At 36.1% G+C, this 19,070-nt stretch overlaps 1 protein-coding gene across 51 annotated transcripts in view, besides 1 other annotated feature; it reads left to right on the top strand.

Moving 5' to 3' along the window:
* The window catches only part of STK33 (serine/threonine kinase 33), a 259,405-nt gene that overhangs the window by 14,762 nt on the left and 225,573 nt on the right, over positions 1 to 19,070 (top strand). Inside the window, exon 2 of one of the 51 annotated variants that reach the window (NM_001289058.2) lies at positions 12,174 to 12,216. The exons of the other annotated variants lie outside the window; for them this stretch is intronic. The gene's annotated coding sequence lies outside the window, so the exon portion shown is untranslated. The remainder of the gene's footprint in view (positions 1 to 12,173; positions 12,217 to 19,070) is intronic. 51 annotated transcript variants of the gene reach the window in all.
* Positions 12,471 to 12,550: an enhancer, noted in NCBI's record as "active region_4386". NCBI's record gives its function as "activates an Ori minimal core promoter by ATAC-STARR-seq in GM12878 lymphoblastoid cells {active_cell/tissue: GM12878}" and the evidence as "EXISTENCE:reporter gene assay evidence [ECO:0000049][PMID:35858748]".

Here is a 19,070-nt window from a genome sequence, read left to right as displayed (position 1 = left end):
TTGTTGAAAAAAATTGCATTGTATTTTAAAGGATCTTCCATTTCTGAGATTCTTATTCTAGGAATTGAACTAAAGTATTTGAAAGTACCTTATAATTGTTAAAATAGGGATACAAGTATAAATTGGTGGCATTTCATTTGGTATTTAGTGTGGTAGAGACTCTGTAGATATGCCTATATATAGTGGCAATAAGGGCTCCACTGAAAGGTTTAGATTTAATAAAAAACCTATACCAAATGTATGATGGTTCCTAATTGCTCACAAAATCCCTACTCTAACTGATTCTTCAGGGTCTGGGCCAATCTCTAGTGGCTATAAAATGGACAGAAATGATTGAATGCCACACATTTTAAAAGAACTAGCAAAATTTTTTCATTCAGAATAAGAAAAAAGAAAAAGGAATTGGTGATGACTATAACTTGGTGATTTCCAAGTCTGCAGTACCATTTAAAAGATAACACTAAATAATAATAATTGCCAGGTACTCTGATAATTGTTTTATATACCTGATTGTTTTTCATTCTCACAGTAACTATCATTACTTCCATTTTACAGATGAGGAAACTGGGGCTTGGAGAACTTGCCTAAGGTTACACACCACTGGTTAATGGAAGAATGGGGACTTAAACCCAGATTTTCTTATCCAATAGAGCCTCTGCATATAATTATTACCCTATATATTCTTTTAAAGTTTAATTAGTTTTTAGATAGATAATAGTTGGACTTGGTATATAATTTTAAAAAAGAAGAGTATATAGTAAAATAGTCTTCCTGTTGTCTCTGTGGCCTTGATACCCATTTAATTTCCCTGGAGCCAAGTAACAATTGAGTATGCTTTCAGAGATGTGTGTGTGTGTGTGAATTACACGTACAAAAATGTACATATGTGGTATACATATAGTATATTATATATAAATAAAATGTTACCCTTATTTTATACAAGTGGTAGTATACTGTAGTTGCTATGTTGCACCTTGATTTTTTGCCTAAAAATATCTTAGATATTGTTGCAGTTGAAGAAAACCCTCTTCATTTTTTAAATTGCTGCATAGTATTCCACTGAATGGATGTACCACAACTTACTTAAATAGTTCCCTATTGAAGGGTATTTGAATGTTTTCCAGTATTTTGCTATTACAAGTGATGCTGTAAAAAGTAACTTTTAATTTATGTTATTTTGTACATGTGTAAATTCACTGTATGTGTTAAACAAGAAACTAGGAGATTACTGTCGGCATGGTGAAATTCACTAATACAGAAGGTTTTTCTTCCCAGTACAAATGTGTGATAAATCATAAATAAGTAAGTGCTTTCCTATTAGCAGAGCTCCATATCAGGCACTGTAATCGTATATATATGTATGGGTTGGTAGATTTCAAAATGAGAAAAGAGAAGATTATGGCATAGTTGACTGACTTGTAGTGAGAGATGTCTGCATATGAGCAGACATTTACTCACCAGAGTGAAACTTTCATTCCTAAAGAAAAAATGACTCACTGCTGCATGGAAGAACTTCCCTGGAGAGGCACTGTTGCATTTGACCTTTATTAGGGTTATGGTATGATTCTTGCTCAGGAAAGTTACCATATAAAAATGCTTACAATGGCTCTGTTACCATTGAGTATATCCAGAAAATGGGCAAAAGGAGGTTTTAAATATTTATGTATAAATTGAAGAGAGCCAAAGTAAGCTTGTGTATAAAGAACTGCAGAGCAGTAAGATAGGATAGAGTATAAATGGCATGTATACTTACACCTTCATAGCTTCTGCATTGGTAGAATATAAGGTGAATATGAAAATAAATGTTAATATTACACAGTACTTTGCATTTTTCCTGTTACTGAGTAAGTAATTACTATGTCCAGGAGTGATTCTAGAGTTTTTAAAAAGAATATGTATAGTAAAGAAAAATAATATATTTATATACCCAGATAAACAAGCTCAAGGAAGGTGACATGGCAGAATCAAAAAACATATCTAAGATTATTCTGCTTATAGCATGTAGCATAAATACTAAATAATAAGCAAAGTGTATGAAAAATCATCTAGGCTTTTGAAATTTGAGTTAAGACTTAGTTTTGTTTGTTCTCCTAATATTCTGATTTATTAATGAATTCTTGAAATATCTTTGATTTTTCCTTCTGCTATTTTTTGTTTCTTAGAATCCATAGTTAATGAACTCTGGAGTACAGTCTAAAGTCACTATGATTATTGAAGATTTTAAAATCTTTTATCCAGAAATATAGCTTTTTAGCTTATTTGTATTGTGTTTGAGACATAATTGAATGTAAAAGAGTGATACTGCCATATTTTGATAGTTGTATCATGTTAGATACCATAGTACCCTCTGCTAACTATTTACTAGACACATTTCAGGGCTCCTATCCTCCCAAATTTTCTTCTAAATGAATCTTCCTGGCAGGACATGGTGACTCATGCCTGTAGTCCCAGCACGTTGGGAGGCTAAGACAGGAGGATCACTTATAGCATATAATTTATTTATTGTATGGAACATTAAATCCCGGGGAAGTAGAGCAATTCTTTCATGTCTTATTCAAGGTTTTTTAAAGTCATCCAGTAGTCTTTTGTGAATTGATGAAACTCTGGAACATCTGTCACTTGCTTCATTTTATAGCATTGTTGTTAGGAGTTTGGCATGTTAGCAGATTTCTGGTTTTGAAGCCTGTCTCTGTCATTTATTAGCTGTGTGGCCTTGTGCAAATTACCGAACCTCTCTGTGTCTTGTTTCATGATCTGTAAAGTGGGAATAGTAGTAGAACTTATCTTATGGAGTTGTTACAAGAATTAAGTGAGACAATATTCCCAAAGTACTTAAGCCAGTTACTGGCACAAAAAAGGTATTTAATAAATGTTAGCTATTATTATTCAGTATGAGAAAGTTAATATCTGTTATATTCACACATTAAGCATTTGAAGTGATGAAATTTGTGGCATATATTTATAGCCAGATAGATAGTAATACATTATAAAAATTTTATCTACAATCTGAAAATAGATTTCAGGTTTATTTATTTCTTCTTATTACATTAGATGGTTTCATGAACATCAAATAGTTTGGAAAGTTCCAAAAGGAAATGAAGTCTTAAAGGCCTAAGAACACACTGACTTGAATGTTGGTTGTAATTCGTGTTTTGAATGAGGGAGGTCACCTTGGAACCTGAACTGTTCTTTCTTGTCCATGCAAAGTATGATCACTAATAACGCATTTCCCAGACATGGGTGCAGTGGCGGTGGTGAGAGAGTCATGAGGATTAGGAAAGTTCTGCTGTTTGTTTTCAACTCCCCATTCAGTCCTCTTTTTAGAAGTCTCTCTTCATTTTCCCCATCTCAGATGCCCAGTTTCTGTTTGCTGCCCTCTGGCACAGCATCCTGTAAACATTTTCTCTACCATTTACAAATGTCGGTTGTTGATTCGCTAACTAGATTGAGTTAGTCTTCTTAATATCTCCCTCTTAATATCCCTTGGTGAGGAATCTGTAGTCTTTAGAATACAGTATAAGCTTGTTAAGACTTGTAAGGTACTCCATGATTTAGTCTCTCCCAGTCTTCTCAGCCTGCATCTATTGAGATGATCATATAGTTTTTCTTTTTTAGTCTGTTACTATGGTAAGTTAGATTGATTTTCAAACGTTAACCCAACCATACATTTTTAGGATGAACCCTACTTGGTCGTGATCTGTTATCCTCTTTTTTATTGTGGTGATATATACATATATATGAAATAAAATTTGCCATTGCAGCCATTTTAAGTATACAATTCAGTGGCATTAGCTGGTTATCCACTACTTCCAAAAATTTTCAACACCCCAAACAGAAACTCTATAGCATTAAGCACCCCATTCTTCTCTCTTCCCCCAGCCCCTGATAACCTCTAATCTACTGTCTGTCTCCACGAATTTGCCTATTTTAGCTATTTCATATAAATAGAATTATACAATATTTGTCATTTTGTGTCTGACTTATTTCATTGAGCATAGTGTTTTCATGGTTCATCCATGTTGTATCAGAGCTTGTTCCCTTTTGTGGCTGGATAATAGTCCCTTGTGTCCGTATACCACAGTTTGTTTATCTGTTCATCTGTTGATGGACACTTGGGTTGTTTGTGTCTATTGGCTATTGTAAATAATGCTGCAGTGAGTGACTGTTGCTGTACAGGTATCTGTTTGAGGCCCTGCTTTCAGTTCCTTTGCATGTATACCTAGGAGTAGAATTGCTGGTCATGTGGTAATTTTATGTTTAGCTCTTTGCGAAGCCACCAAACTGTTTTTCACAGCAGCTACACCATTTTAAATTCCCAGCAGCAATGTATGAGGGTTCCAGTTTTTCCACATCCTCACCAACACTTGTCATTTTCACAAAAAATTAAAGCAATTTCATTATCCTTTCCCTTCCCCCTTTTTTTGAGACAGGGTCTTGCTCCCTTGCCAGACTGGAGTGCAGTTGCGCAATTATAGTTCAGTGTAGCTTCAAACTCCTGGGCTCAAGTGATCCTCCTGCCTCAGCCTCCTTTGTAGCTGGGACTACAGGTGCATGCCACCAGACTTGGCTATTTTTTTTTTTTCCTTTTTTTGTAGAGATGGGGCCTCATTATGTTGCTCAGGCTGGTCTTGAACTCCTGGCTTCAGGCAATTCTCCTGGCCTGGCACCCCAAAGTGTTGGGATTACAGGCATGAGCCACCATGCCTAGCCTCATTATCCTTTTATATATTAGAGGATTTAGTTTGCTAACATTTTCTTAAGAATTTTTGCTTCTAGGTTCATGAAGGATATTGGTCTGTAGTTATATGTACTTGCAGTGTCTTTGTTTGGTTTTGGTAACATGGTAATGTTATTGGGAAATGTTCCTTTTTTATTTTCTGGATGAATTTGTATAGAATTGGTATTATTTCTTCTTTAAATGTTTGATAGAATTCACTAGCAAGGCTATATGGGTCTAGAGTTTTCTTGGTTGAAAAGTTTTAACTAAGAATTTAATTTCTTTACTATTTATAGTTATTTTAAAAAGAAAAAGTATTTATGGCTATTCTGATTATCTTTTTTCTTTCTTTTAACTTTTAATTTGAAATAATTACAGATTTACAAAATGTTTCAAATAAATACACAGGGAGACTCTGAGCACGCTTCAACCATCCTCCCTCAATATTAATATCTTGCATAACTGTAGTATAGTATCATACTAGGAATCAAGGTTGACACAGTCCACAAAGCTTATTCAGACCTCTACAGTTGTATATTTACTCATTTGTGTATGCGTGTATATAGTTGTATGCAATTTTATGCCTGAAGCTCATATTAGCTCCATCTCTAAGTGTCCACTTCCTCTGGGGTGAGTGGGGATAGGGAGGGAGGGAGAGGGGCCACTGAGGGACTGGCAACACTCCAGCATGTGGTGTTGGGGTCCATGGGCAACTTCAAGGCAGGTCTTGTGTAACCACGAACTTTGTGTAACCATCACTGTAATCAAGATACAGAACTGCATCATCACCCTGAGTCTCCCTTGTCTACTCCTTCCTTTATACTCATACCTACCCCTCTCCTATCTGTAACCCCTGGAAACAGATTCATTTCTATAATTTTGTTATTTCAAGAATGTTATATAAATGGAATCATACAGTATGTAACCTTTTGAGATTGGCTTTTTTCACTCAGCATAATTCCCTTGAGGTTCATCAAAGTCTGTTGCATATTCCTTTTTATTGCTAAGTAATAGTCCTTAGTATGGATGTGCTACAGTTTGTTTAACCATTCACCTGCTGAAGGACATTTGAATAGTTTCCAGTTTTTGACGGTTACTGATAAAGCTGCTATGAACGTTTGTGTACAAGTTTCTGTGTGAACATAAGTTATCATTTCTTTGGGATAAATGCCCAAGAGTACAACGACTGGGTCATGTAATAAGTCAATTTTAGTTTTAAAATAAACTGCCAAGCTAATTTCCAGAGTGGCTGTACTATTGTACATGCCCACCAACAGTGTAGGAGTGATCTGTTTTCTCCATATCATCACCAGCATTTGGTATTGCTACTATTTTTTATTTTAGCCTTTCTGATTGATGATACTTCATTGCGATATTAATTCACATTTCCCCAAAGCCTAATGATGTTGGTCATCTTTTCATGGGCTTATTTGCCATTGTGTATCTTCTTCTGTGAAAAGTCTATTCATGTATTTTGCCCATCTTCTAAATGAATTTTTTAAGGTTGAGTTTTAGACATTCTTTGTATGTTTTAGATACAAATTCTTTGTCAGATATGTGATTTGCAGTCATTTTTCTCAGCCTGTAATTGTCTTTTTAATAATTAACAGGATCTTTTGCAGAGAAAAAGTTTTAAATTTTGATGAAGTCCAGCTTAACAATTTTTCCTTTTTATCTGTTTTGTTTTGAATGAGCTTTGGTGTTTGTTGAACTTCTTGGATCTGTAGGTTGGTAGTTTTTGTCATGTTTAGAAATACTTCACCTCTTTTTTCTGCTTTTGGAAAGCAGAAAAAAAAAGTATTAAGAATGCTTAATACTCTCTCACAGGTCATTGAGGCTCTGTTCATTTTTTCCTTGAGCATTTTTTTAATCTTTTATTTTGGATAGTTCCTATTACTATGCCTTTACTGATTTTTTTCTTCGGCAGTATCTGATCTGCTGTTAATTCTATCTATTGCATTTTTCATTTTAGGTATTGTATTTTTCATCTGTAGAGGTTCCATTTGGGTCATTTAAAATATATCTTTCAGGCACCAGGCATGGTGACTCACGCCTGTAATCACAGTGACTTCAGAGGCTGAGGTTGGAGGATTGCTTGAGGCCAGGAGTTCGAGACCAGCCTGGGGAACGCAGTGAGACCCTATTTCTAAAAAAATAAAATAAAATAAATAAAAAATCTTTCATTTTTCTCATCATGTTTATGTATTTCTCTACCCTGTTAGACATGTAGAACATATTTATATGATTCTTGTCTGCTAGTTGTATCATTTCTGGGGCATATTTTCGCAGATTTTATATGCCCATTAACTTTTAACTGGTTGCAAGACATTATGGATTTAGGTGACTTCTTTAAATAGTGTTCGCTTTGTTCTGGCATGCAGTTAAGTTGCTTGAAATCAGATGAAGCCTTTTGAGACTTGCTTTTAAGCTTAAGTAGGGCAGGTCTGGAGCAGTCTTTAGTCTAGGGATAATTTATCTCTGTTGTCAAGATGAAACCCTTCTGAAAATTCTACTTGCTGCCCTGTGTATTAAGATATCTTTCCTCTCTGTCTGGCAGGAATAGGAATTGTTCCCAAATCCTGTATGAGATCTGGGCGTTGTTCTGTCTTTTTCTTGCAAGGCTGTTTTCCTTCCTCTCCCACCCCCAACACGAGCCTTGGATAGTTTTTTTAAAATTAATTTTTAATTTTAAAATTAATTAATTAATTAATTTATTTTTTAAAATTAAAATTTAATTTTAATTTAAATTTTTTAAAATTAAAATTTAATTTTAATTTAAATTTTTTAAAATTAAAATTTAATTTTAATTTAAATTTTTTAAAATTAAAATTTAATTTTAATTTAAATTTTTTTAAAATTTTTTTTTTATTGTGGTAAAATACATATAAAATTGACATTTTAACCTTTTTTTTTTTTTGAGACTGGGTCTCGCTCTGTCGCCCAGGCTGGAGTGCAGTGGCGCGATCTTGGGTCACTGCAAGCTCCGCCTCCCGGGTTCACACCATTCTCCTGCCTCAGCCTGCTGAGTAGCTGGGACTACAGGCACCCGCCACCACGCCTGGCTAATTTTTTGTATTTTTAGTAGAAACAAGGTTTCACCGTGTTAGCCAGGATGGTCTCGATCTCCTGACCTCGTGATCCACCCGCCTCAGCCTCCCAAAGTGTTGGGATTACAGGCGTGAGCCACCATGCCTGGCCCCATTTTAACCATTTTTAAGTGTATAATTAAGTGACAGTAATTACATTCACAATTTGTTATAACCATCATCACTATTTCCAAAACATTTTTATCACCCCAAACAGAAACTCTTAAACTTTACTAGTAACTCCTTATTCTCCCCTCGCCTATCCCTAGTAAACTTGAATTTACTTTCCATCTCTATGAATTTGCTTATTCTAGATATTTCATATAAGTGGAATCATACAATGTTTGTTCTTTTGTATCTGGCTTATTCTAGTTAGCGTGCTGTTTTCAAGGTTTTTCCAACTTAGGTAGTTTTGGCCTCACATATGCTTGTATCAGCTCTTAGCCGAGACTCATGTGCATGCTCCTGCAGATTTCGGAAGCTGTCTTTTGTGCAGCTCTTACCCTCAACTAAGCTAAACTGCTGGGCTTTTGGGGAATTTGCTGCATTCTGGAAACTGCTTCTATGTGTTAAACTGGTGCAATCATGGAACTCATCATGTTTGCTTTCCCTCTCCCAGGTATTACAGTGCTGTGTCTTGTGTGATGGTCCAAAAACCATTGTATCATGTATTTTGTCCAGTTTTCTAGCAGTTTATGGCAGAAGGGTGAGATCTGTCCCCCGTTACTCTATCTTGATCAGAAGCAGAACTGTCCTCTGTGTCTGTGTGTGTGTGTAACAGCTTTTACTGAGATGTAATTGCCATGCAATAAACTACCTATGCTTAAAGTGTACAATTTGATTTTTATATATGTGCACATCCATGAAACTGCCAGACAATGAAGATAGTGAACATATCCATCACCCCCCCAAAATTCCCTTATGTCCGTTTTAATGTCTCCATCCTGCCTCTCTCGGCCCTCCTCTGCATTCTCAGGTAACCTCTGAATGCTTTTCTGTCACTGTAGATTAGTTTGCATTTTCTATGTAAATGGAATCATACAGTACTACGTGTGTGCACCCATAACTTACTCATTTTTATTGCTGAGTGGTGTTGCATTGTGTGGGTATACCACCATCGATTTATCCATTCACATGTTGTTGGACATTCATTTGGGTTGTTTCTAGTTTTTGACTACTACAAACAAAGCTGTTATATATTTGGATAAGGCTTTTTGTAGACATATGTATTTATTTTTCTTTGGTGATTACCTAAGATTGGAGTTATTCATTCATAGGATAGATTACATGTTTACCTTATAGAAAAGCTGTTTTCCAAAGTGGTTTTATCATTTTACATTCCCGCCATCAACAAATGAGGGTTCTTGTTGCAAGAACCTTACATCCTTCCCTAATATTTGGTTTTGTCAGTCTTTTAAACTTTAATCTTTCTGGACGATGTGTAGGGATGTCTCATTGTGGTTTTAACTTACATTTATCTAATGATTAATAATTTTTTGAAAATTTTATCTATTAATTGAACACTCATATATCCTTTATAAAGTATCTGTTCTTTTGCCTATTTTTTTGAAAACAGGTTGTCTTTTTATTTTTGAGTTGTAGGAATTCTAATTTTGGATACAAGTTTTTTTTAGATATATGTATTGTGAATATTTTCTCCCAGTCCGTGGCTTGCCTATTCGTTTTCTTTTATTTATCTATTTATTTATTTTTTTGAGACAGGGTCTCACTCTGTTGCCCAGGCTGGAGTGCAGTGGCACAATTACGGCTCACTGTAGCCTTGGGCTCAAGTGATTCTCCCATCTCAGCCTCCCGAGTAGCTGAGACCACAGGAGTGTGCCACCATGCCTGGCTAATTTTTGTATTTTTTGTAGAGATGGGGTTTTGCCATGTTGCCTAGGGTAGTCTTGAATTCCTGGGCTCAAGTGATCTGCCTGCCTTGGCCTCCCAAAGTGCTGGGGTTACCAGTGTGAGCCACCATTCCTGGCCACCTATTGATTTTCTTAATGGTGTCTTTTGAGGAGTAGAAGTCTTACATTTTGATGAAGTCTAATTTATCAGTTTTTCTCTTATGGCTAATGTTTTCTGTGTTCTTTCTAAGAAATCTTTAACTTACCTGAAAGTCATAAAAACATTCTGTGTTTTCTTCTAGAAGTTTTTAGTTTTAGCTTTTGCATTTGTGTGTATGATCTATTTCAAGTTAATGTCTGTGGGTGGTGTGAGATAGGAGTTGAAGTTCAGTTTCTTTTTTCCCTTATGGATATACAGCTGTTTCAGCACCATTTGTTGAAGACTTTTCTTGTGTTGTTGAATTGCTTTGCCAGCCTTGTCAAAAATCAGTTGACTTCTGTTTTCATTGATTTGTCTATTCTTATACCAATACCAAAGTGTCTTGATTACTGTGGCTTGATAGTGAGTCTTAAAACAAGGTAGTGTGAGTCTTCCAATTTTGTTATTTTTCAAGATTGTTCTGGCTTTTCTGGGACCTTTGCCTTTACTGATGCATGCTAGTATCACTTTGCCAATTTCTATAAACTGTGCAGCCAGATTGAGAATCATAGAATAAACCTTGGTAAATTCATGCCTTGTGATGTTTTTAAGAAGTCATTTTGGGGACCTTCTCCAGATAATATTCCTTGGGAGCACTGGGCTTTATTCTATTTGAATGTCTATGTCTTATAACTCCTAAAAAGGAAATTTATACTATACATACTTTTCCTTAGGTCTTTGCCTAGGTACATAGTTTCCTTGTCATCTTTAGTGTCTTTGGTGGAACTGAATTGTTACTGTTCCAATCTTAATAATATAAATGTTGCTTTAGTACAAGAAAAATAAGAAGGTAATATAGCACATAATCCATTAAGGTCTGTCTACAAAGGATATGTAAGGGAATAAGACTTTTTCTCTGTAGTATCAGAATCAATCTTCCTTCTGCTGCATTATATTTCCTAGACAGTTATTAGGGAAATGTTCAGGGCCACAGTTTTATGGAACTGTACTTAGTGAAGTATCAAATACTATAATAAATAGCTTTCTTGCTTTTATATTTCCAGATAAACTCAAGCTTTCAAAAAACTTCAAACGTCTAATTTTTGCTGTTATCTTGAAATACATGCTTTAATAGCACCACACTTATTGATGACTTTTAATAGCAGAGCGAATTATGTTACAATATGTCTGATGCTTTCTAGAAGTTGTCTGACCATACTGTGGTATTCATTTTTGTAATTGTTTTTGAGTTGTGGTTTTACATATATAATTCATTATCCACGATTTATGATCCCAGTTACATAAATCAGTTCTTTTTAGTCTCTTGTAGTAAATACATGTAAATGTTATGAATAATACTTTGGAGGAACTTTTATGCCATTTTAATGAGTTCATGTTTACATTGAATAACTGAATTGCAACTTGGAGTGTTCCCAGAATAGAAAATGTGAATTACTAAAATGAATTTGGGTACTTCAGGACTGTGATGGAAGGAACTAAGAACTGTATTTTATTTAGTGATCATATTGTTTTATGATAAAAACAAGCTATTTTTCTCTGGATGGCAATTATTTTGTACTAAGGAAGTACCTTGGAATTATAGACCATCTTTCAATTTTATGCACATTCCTGTAAGCTGAAAATAATTGCTGATTTGGATTTTCCTTGGAAAAAGAGGTGGAGACTATATTATTAACTTTGTAGGGAGGCATTTTTTAGTCATTAGTCAGATATATTGCTGTAGAAGCCGTTGAATATTGTTTTTAAAAGTTCAGAATCTTGTAATATAAGCCCAAAGAATAAGTTAATTATAGAAAAGTGCTACATTGTATGACTCAGATAATCTGAGACTGATGACTAATTTAGTGTGTAGCTAGGTGCTAAATGTAAAAGGAGTTCAAAGCCTGGAAAGACCCACATGGACTGGAGCTGTTAGTTTGTTTTTGGTTTAAAGGATAGAATCTGGTGTTATTCATCATGCCCATATTGGGACAATGAAAAGACTTCCCAGTATTTCCTACAAAAGGTTACCCAGGTGTAGTTATGTGCTTCTGATTTTCCCCGTTCCTCTGTTTATATAGGCATAGCTCATATATTTTGGGAAATGGGAGGAATAGCTGTATTGGTGCTATATTGGTTTGTTATAGCCAATCCCTAAAGAAATGTGTTCCTGTAAAGACTCTTTTGTTTTTCTTTATATTCTCTGAAATTATTATTTGCCTCCAGCCATAATTTCTTGCAGCCACAAATAGTAATAACTAATAATATTATAGCACTGAACTGTGTACCTTACTGTGTTCTAGATATGTTTCATATTTTGACTAATTTGATCTTCATGATAACCCCATGTGGTAGGTAATATTCACTTTTTCATTTTACAGATGGGGAGCCAGATAAACGTTACATAACTAGAAAGTGGCAGAGGTGAGCTCTGAACCAGAGTCTCTACTGTTAACCCTAGTCTATGCTTGAATTGACTTAAGAAGTAAATTTTATTAGTAATGTTTTAAACATTGTTATTATTATTATTATTTTGAGACAGGGTCTCACTCTGTCACCCAGGCTGGAATGCAATGGCTCGATCTTGGATCACTGCAACCTCTACCTCCTGGGCTCAAGCAGTCCTCCCACCTCAGCCTCCCGAGTAGCTGGGACCACAGGCACACACAACCACCCCAGCTAATTTTTTAGTATTTTCAGTAGAGTTGGGGTTTCACCATGTTGCCCAGGCTTGTCTCAAACCCTCCCACAGTGCTAGGATTACAGGCATGAGCCGCCACGCCCAGCCTTAAACATTATTTTAACAATGTCATAGGTTCGACAGTTATAACTGTATTAAAGTCCTGAGAAGCTCACTCAGTAATTTAAAAAATTTCCACTAGAGGTCAGTCTATCACTTGGCAATATAAATATTTGCTGCTTTCTTAGTGCAAAATTTCATTTACTAAATTAAAGAAGTATGCTGTGGAAGAGACTTGGGTAGCAGAATAGATTTTGAATTGGAAACATAATAAAAAGTCATCTTTATAGTAGTAAAAGCATGTATGACTATTACAAGATGCAATATTGGTTCAATTGACTGTTTGCAGAATTTAGTCAAGATATCCTATGAGATGCTATCTGGCACAGGAAAGGCTAATGACCCTGATCTTTAGTTGTTGCCTCTAAATGAACCACACATTAAACATTAGACCAATTTTGTGTTACTAGTACTTCAGATTCTTTTTCTTGACTCATTTAATTTAGTCAAGGACTTAAAATATACCTGGAGAGTAATGAAATAGTGAAAATATTGAGTGTTTACTAAGAGATATTCTGATAATTTTAAGACAATGTGGGTCTAAGATTGTTTAAAAAGTAGCCTAGAGGCTTTTATTTCTCAACTCTCACGTTTTGGAGATAACAAGGAGTTGAATTAAGATGCAGAAACTGAGGGTCTATTTAGAAGCTGCATTTTGAGGTAACTTCTTTGCTTGTAAATGCAGTCATATTTTGGAAGGATAAAATATAATTAATTAACTAGAGTCTTAACTTGGAAGGATTAAATATAGTTGGAGAGTCTAGCATGGTCCTGAGTATAAAGTTATTAATCAGTTGACCAATGATGTTATTTATATGTAAATAATGATTTTGGCTTCTGTAGGTTAAATAAAGCCTTTTAGGCAGCCTTCAAACTAACTGAAACAATCTGACTTGACTTCAGATTTGTCACACTGGAAATGAATGGCAACATGCGGAACAGGCCAGGACAGGGAGGGAAGTTACACAGGAGGGATGGGTCGGCAGAGTTTGTAAGTTTGGATGGGTAATAACTTAACCCAGGGGATTGTTGGTGGAGGAACGAGGGAGTCCTGTAGCTAGAGATAGGCAGAAGCAGACAGGATATTTGGGTTCTAGGTAAGCAAGGTGCATCTAAGACCTAAGAAGTCTTCAGAGGCAGCAGAGACGAACAAATGAACGTGAAGGTGAGAGTTAATGATTTCTAATGGTACCTATCCCTTACTGTGTACTTATTTATGTGCCAGGCACTGTGCTAAGAGCTTTATGTACATTATCTCTTTTTCTCCTTATCATAATCTTGTGAGGTAGGTTCTAATCCCTTTTCACAGACAAGATGACTGAGGCTGAATGAGTTTCAATAACTTGCCTTCAGTCGTAGAACTTGTAAATGGCAGAACTGATATTTGAACTCGGGGCTTATGACTCCGGCTGTGAAACTCTGTTATCGGATGCAGAAGGTATTTCTTTTTTTGCCCCAGTTTTATGCTGCCTGCAATGTAGAGATGGCCATAGGCTTATATCCAATGGGAAATTAACCCCATGGGTAAACCCCAATTACAACAAAAGCAGAGAGTTACAACTTCCAGGGAGATGGGGGTTGGTATTTTTGTTAAAAATGTGAAGTTTTTTAACCTTTGACTATAAATCATGGTGAAAAACCTATATCCTCCATGTAGCGCTGATTAGATGGTGGCGAATCCATCTCCTGTACTTTCACTACTTTGTTATTTTTTTTTCCTCTTTTCTAAAATCCACTAATTATCTTACTAGGTGTTCTCTCTGTTGGCTTGGTTTCTCATAAATGACACTCCCGGAGATGCCCTCTCAAGGGCTTTCTAGAGTCATAATAGGAAGAGTAGTGGGCAAACCTAAAAGGAAGTTTAGGGATCACTAATTTGGTCTGTCAGTGTACTTTTGTCACTTTATTTTTACACCTGCAGGCAGCAGTGCTTCTGAGACCTTTTAGTCCTTTAAAGATAGCTTTGATCCTAGATCTCTTTCTGCTTAGGATATGTTTTTGAAGGGATGAGGACAGAATGTCAGCTTTCTTCTCCTAAAGGCACCGGTTGTTGAATTTCCCCTGTAATCTGGGACTTTCATCATTTCCTCCATGTTGATGGTGGCGCTAGACCTGGGGAATAGCATTTATCTTTTGTTTTTTGACCTAAGTGACAGGTTAATGGTGAAAGGTCCATCAGCTAAGAATGCTTTTAATAAGGCCCTCTTTTTTGTGGTTTAGCCAGGGTCCATCTGTGGTTAACTGCAAAAAGTATTTCCCAAGTTCCTTCAGTCTTTTCTTCTGAAGTTGCTTGAAGGTGATACTTAGGAAGAGTACATTCACATGCTATACAAGGGCAAGCAAATGGAAAGTTCTCTTTCTATATCTTTTTATCTCTTGGGTGAAACTTTGATTTATTTTGACAAAATAATACAGAATTCTTAACCTAGCAGTATAAAGTAACACCAGATTCACAAGGGGCAAACTCTTCTCAGCAGAGCAGGCTCAGCAGAATTGCGTAAGGCCAGAGTGCCTGCTTTCTTCCATAAGGCTTTGGGATTAAATTTATTCATCTCTGTTTTTAATCCATCAATGCCCAAAGTCATCTGTCTCTTCTATTTGCTATTTCATAGAGAAGGAAGCCATTTGATGGGAATTTCCTAAATTCCCTACAACCAAATCTATATACTTACTTCCACCTGTTAGCATCCATCTTCTTCAGATAGCTTTCCAGCTGGCCTGCCTGCTACTTTACACTCTTGATTCTCTTACATCCTGCCCCTAAAGTCATATTTTACAAATAAAAATCTGATTATGCCACTCCGCTCCTGAAAAAGTGTTTATTTGCATGCTTGTAGGATAGAGCCTCAGATCTTTAACATACCTTATGAGGCCCTATAGATATTGCTCCTTGTCTACCTCACCATCTTTGACTGACAGCAATGTAGCTCTTTTTTTTCCCCACAGTTCAGCCATACTGGTCCCTTTTAATTTCCTCAAATCTGCCAGGTTTCTTCCTGGCTCCTCTTTTTGGAATGCATTCCTCACTTTCCCTGGCCAACTGATTGCTGTCCTTCAGGTCACTGCTTGTGTTACTCTTTCTGGGAAATCCCAATATAGTCATACCTCTTGTAATTATTAAGTTAGTGACATTATTTTCCAGGTGTTTTTATTACCAGGAAATTCAGTTCTCACTCTTGAGGACTCTTCCTTCACTTTGTGTATTATGTAAGAACTGGGGGTTCCAAAGGGTTAGTCTCATGTACCATGTGGAGGGTGAACTTGAAATCCGAAAAGTACAATATAGCTGTTGCTGATAAAGACTGTTGCTATTGAAGAATGGTCCTGCACAGCCCAAAGGGACTGATTATTTATGATGACCTGCCCAAGATGTAGAAGTTATATTTTACATTCATATACCTACAGACTTACGTTCATACACTTAGTCATTGTTTCTCAAAGCATAATTTTGTGTCATGGTGGTTATAGGCTGGGTTAGAGTCACCCTTCCTCATGATCCCCTGGGCTGGATTGAGCTTGGGACACCAACCCAGACAGCTCCTGCCTAGTGAGTATTCTTTTGGTGCCATTTGTATCCCTTCTTGCCAGAAGATTTTGGTCAGGGCAATGTTAGGTTTACTCCAACAGCTAACTTTGAATCCCAAGGAACACTCCCAGAAGGCCTATGGGTATCCCAAGAAAAAAGATAGTTATTTCTAGGTTGTATGCCCAAGGAAGGCCCTACTTACCCAGATACAGGGTACTTACTCATTTTTGCAATCTGTCACTATGGGAGGCGACTTAAGTGACTCTTCACAAAATAAAGTGAGCTTCAAGGAGACTTTTGCCTCTCCTTGAACTGAGAAGCAACTCAGAGATTCTTTAGCTAGAATAATCTAATCCATAACACTTGGGGACTCTAATCTCTGCTTAAACAGCTACCCCTTTACTTACTTATTGATCTGCTATTCTTGTGATTTTTAAAAATAGTAATAGTCTGTTTTCCCCACTATAATGTAAGCTCCAAGAGGGTAGGAACTATTTCTGTCTTCTTCATTGCTGTATCTTCAGTGCCTCCCAAAGTGCCTTGCAGATAGTTAATATCCTATGCATATTTGATGAATGAATGAACTTTAAGTTTTCCAAAGTAGAATTGTAATAGTAACTATTACTTCTAAGAATGCAGAAGATATTCAGAAAAGTAAAGCCATACTAACCATATTCCTTATCATGAAACTAATTGAGAATCAACAAATAGAATGAAAAGCAAACAAAAAAAAAATCTGTGAAACTAGGAAATGGCTCAGTTCCTAGCTATGGACTAGAATCTAAGAGTATAATGAAATATGGATGAAATCAAAGGGGATGCTAAATTCTGTTATACACTGTTTAGACTGTAAACAGAGTGCAGATTTCACTGAAAGTGGGGGGCCATGAGTATCCCATCCTGTAAGGTTTTCGTGTTGGGACACGCCATGGGAAAACCTGGAAAATCCCCAAGGAAGCCAGTGCAATATCTCAAAATGGAGACAGAGAGAAAGAAAGAGAGAGAGAGAGGAGAGAGAGACAAGAGGACAGTATCTTTTGATTTCTAACCTGCAGTGAAGTGGAGAGGAAGAAAGAAGAAATGACAATGAGCTATGTAGCAGTTAACTGAATCAAATGAACATAAATGAATAACTAATAAATTAGCAAACCAAAGCTAGTTAACTGCTTTACTCTAAGCATGCAGAATGAAGTACATTTCAGATTAAGAATTATTTTAGTAAACAAATTCTTGAAAAATACATCTGTATTCACTTAAAGAAATTGAAGGGGAACATAGAATTTTTAGAAATTGGAGTTAAGGAAAGCAAGGCAATCCCTCTCTGGTGGTCAGTCATAGGATGTGAGGCTTTATAGCTGTTGGCAGCCATGTTCTGTGCCTTGTGGGAGAAATTGGTCTGTCTATGATACTGACAGCCAAGCCAACACATTGAAGCAGAAATAAGAGACAAAAGAAAAATAGCCCTAGTTGAGATAAGCAGTCCTGGTGGCGTTCAAGTCTGTGGTTCCAGTTATCCCTCAGGCTCAGTTACACTTTATACATTTCCTAAAGTTATATGAGGTACTGCATTGTCTTTCTGATAAATTCTTTTTATCTAAACTATTTCAAGTTAGGCTTATGCCATAGGCTTTCAACTAGGAATTCTGTATGATATGTAGATAATACAGGCAGAGAAGATCCAACATATGTGTTATTGGTGTGCCTGATAGAGAGTAGAACGAATGGACAATAATTTCAAATATATCATGGGGAAAAGACCACCAGAGATTAAACGGATTAGTAATCTGCAGATTCAAAGAACACAGAATTCTAAAAGAACTGAAACAGGATGATCAATATCAAATAAGTATGTAACAGTAAAGTTACTTGTGCTTCAAGATTAAAAAAAAGAATCGCCAAGCATCCAGACAGGAAAAGCAAGTCACCGAAAGGGGGAAAATGAGACTGGCTTCTGACATCATGGTAATAGCCAAAGCCAGGAGGCAGTTGAACAGTGTCTGAGTTTTGGTGGAATGTGTGTAGGCAGGGAATAGTGTGACCCACAGATTTAATACCTGGTCAAGCTCTTATTTATGCATAAAGATAACAACCAATATTCTCAAACATTCAAGGACCTAGTCCCTGAAGAAATGCCTCATGAGTAAAATTAATCATCTAAGTGATAAATAAAAAGAACTTGGGAATGAAGAAGCAGAGATAGGAAGGGGTTGATAGGGCATATGGAATCTATTTAAAAATAGACCAAGTAAAGTCTGAATAACTGCGTTGTATGAAAACAGAAGAAAATGTAAAGGCTCTAAAATTAATGTTGAATAAAGGATTTATGTAACAGATATAAAGAGGGGAAGGGAGAATAGGTAGAGGTTTGTAAAAGAGTTTGAACTCCCATTTATCTTCGTGGAGAGAGAGTCAGTAGATAACAGCCTGTAGTTGATGAATCTGCTAGTCTCAGTTGAAATCTAGGCACTGCCACATAGCAGCTATGCATTCTCAGATGAGTTTAATTCTCATAAGTAGCTGTAGAATCTTCATCTGTGTCTTGGAGGTAATGATACTACTAACCTACTAGGGTTGTTGTGAAGATTAAATACAATAATGTGTGTCAGGTACTTAGAACAGTGCCTGGCCTGAAGTAAGCATTCAGTAAAAATTACCAATTGTTTATTATTATTTTAAGGCAAAAACATGGGCAGATAATTTTATAATCTTGGGGCAGAGAAGGCCTTTCTAAGCATAACTCTCAACCTAGTGACCACAAAAGAAAAGATTAATTATTTGATTTCATAAAAACTAAAAGCTTTTACATGACAAAATCACCATGATAAGAATCAATGAACAAATACCCAAGTGGGGGAGAATAATTGCAATATGTTTGACAGAAGGAGGATTGATATCATTAATATTTAGGGATCACTGATAAGTCAACAAGAAAAAGATGAGAAAAAATCAGTA

This window comes from Homo sapiens, chromosome 11, assembly GCF_000001405.40.
Source record: "Homo sapiens chromosome 11, GRCh38.p14 Primary Assembly".
Taxonomy (NCBI): domain Eukaryota; kingdom Metazoa; phylum Chordata; class Mammalia; order Primates; family Hominidae; genus Homo; species Homo sapiens.
This window is presented reverse-complemented; position numbering and strand designations above follow the sequence as displayed.